The 2,231-nt window shown below is 50.2% G+C and overlaps 1 pseudogene; it reads left to right on the forward strand.

Moving 5' to 3' along the window:
- Positions 215-1,925, forward strand: KRT8P25 (keratin 8 pseudogene 25; annotated as a pseudogene).

A 2,231-nucleotide genomic window follows, 5' to 3' on the forward strand; every position in this document is an offset into this window, starting at 1 on the left:
TAATAAAAAAGAATCAACCAGGAATTCTGGAGTTAATAAATGCAATTGATGTACCTAAGAATTTGTCAGAGTCTCTTAATAGCAGGATTGATAGAGCAGAAGAAAGAACTAATCAGCTTGAAGACAGGCTATTTGAAAATATGGTCACAGGAGTTAAAAGAAAAAAGAATAAAAAACAATGAAGCATTACTACAAGATCTAGAAAACAGCCGTGAGAAGCAGCTTATCCATTCTTCCTTGTATCTCCACTGGGTTCAGGCCACCTGTCTCCACTCCTGCCTCCACCATGTCCATCAGGGTGACCCAGAAGTTCTACAAGGTGTTCACCTCTGGCCCCCGGGCCTTCAGCAGCAACTCCTACACAAGTGGGCCTGGTGTCCACATCAGTTTCTCAAGCTTCTCCCGAGTGGGCAGCAGCAGCTTCTGGGATGGCCTGGGCAGAGGCTGTGATGGGGCCAGCAGCAAGGGAGGCATCACAGCTGTCACAGTCAACCAGAGCCTGCTGAGCCCCCTTAACCTGCAGGTGGACCCCAACATCCAGGCCATGTGCACCCAGGAGAAGGAGCAGATCAAGACCCTCAACAACAAGTTTGCCTCCTTCATTGACAAGGTATGGTTGCTGGAGCAGCAGAACAAGATGCTGGAGACGAAGTGGAGCCTTCTGCAGCAGCAGAAGATGACTCTGAGTAACATGCACAGCATGTTACAGAGCTACATCAACAACCTTCAGCGGCAGCTGGAGACTCTGGGTCAGGAGAACCTGAAGCTGGGGGCAGAGCTTGGCAGCATGCAGGGGCTAGTGGAGGGCTTCAAGAACAAATATAAGGATAAGATCAATAAGCGTACAGAGATGGAGAATGAATTTGTCCTCATCAAGAAGGTTGTAGATGACGCTTACATGAACAAGGCAGAGCTGGAGTCTCACCTGGAAGGGCTGACTGATGAGATCAACTTCCTCAGGCAGCTGTATGAAGAGGAGATCCGGGAGCTGTCCTAGATCTTGGACACGTCTGTGGTTCTGTCCATGGACAACAGCTGCTCCCTGGACATGGGCAGCATCATCGCTGATGTCAAGGCCCAGTATGAAGAGATCGCCTATGCAGCTAGGCCAAGGCTGAGAGCATGTACCAGATCAAATATGAGGAGCTGGAGATGCTTGCTGGGAAGCATGGGGATGACCTGTGTCATACAAAGATGGAGATCTCTGAGATGAATGGGAACATCAACTGGCTCCAGGCTGAGATAGAGGGCCTCAAAGGCCAGAGGGCTTTCCTGGAGGCCGTCATCACAGATGCTGAGCAGCATGGGGAGCTGGCTGTTAAGAATGCCAACACCAAGCTGTATGAGCTGGGGCCCGCCCTGCAGTGGGCCAAGCAGGACATGGTACAGCAGCTGCATGAGTGGCAGGAGCTGATGAAATCCAGCTGGCTCTGGACATTGAGATTGCCACCTACAGAAAGCTGCTGGAGGGCATGGAGAGCTGGCTGGAGTTGGGGATGCAGAACATGCAGAACATGAGTATCCATATGAAGACCACCAGTGGCTATGCAGGTGGGCTGAGCTCAGCCTATGGGGACGTCACAAGCCCCAGCCTCAGCTATGGCCTGGTCTCCAGCTTTGGCTCTGGCATGGGCTCCACCTCCTTTAGTTGCACCAGCTCCATCAGGGCCATGGTTGTGAAGAGGATCAAGACCCACAATGGGATGCTGGTGTCAAAGTCCTCTGATGTCCTGCCCAAGTGAACAGCCATGGCAGCCCTTCCCAGGCTACCCATCCTGCAGCTGTCTCAGAGCCCATGGGGGAGGCAGCTGTGCAGGGGAATGCAAGACCCACCTGAGGTTCAGCCCTAGCCTTCAGCCCACCTGCAGGGGCAGCTTACTGCCTATGGCACCCCCCTTGCCCATGAATCCAGCTACAAAACAATTTTTTCCCCAAAATAAAACCTCAGCTAGCTATGCACACACACACACACACACACACACACACGCCACAAAAGAGCAAATCTAAGAGTTATTGGCCTTTAAGAGGAGGTAGAGAGAAAGAGATAAGGCTGGAAAGTTTATTCAAAGAGATAATAACAGAACTTCCTAAACCTAGAGAAAGATATCAATATTCAAGTTCAAGAAGCTTATAGAACCCCAAGCAGATTTAACTCAAAGAAGACTATCTCATGACATTTAATAATCAAACTTCCAAAGGTCAAGGATAAAGAAAGAATCCTAAAAGCAGCA

The sequence above is a fragment of the Homo sapiens genome, chromosome 3 (genome assembly GCF_000001405.40).
Source record: "Homo sapiens chromosome 3, GRCh38.p14 Primary Assembly".
NCBI classification, from domain to species: Eukaryota; Metazoa; Chordata; class Mammalia; order Primates; family Hominidae; genus Homo; species Homo sapiens.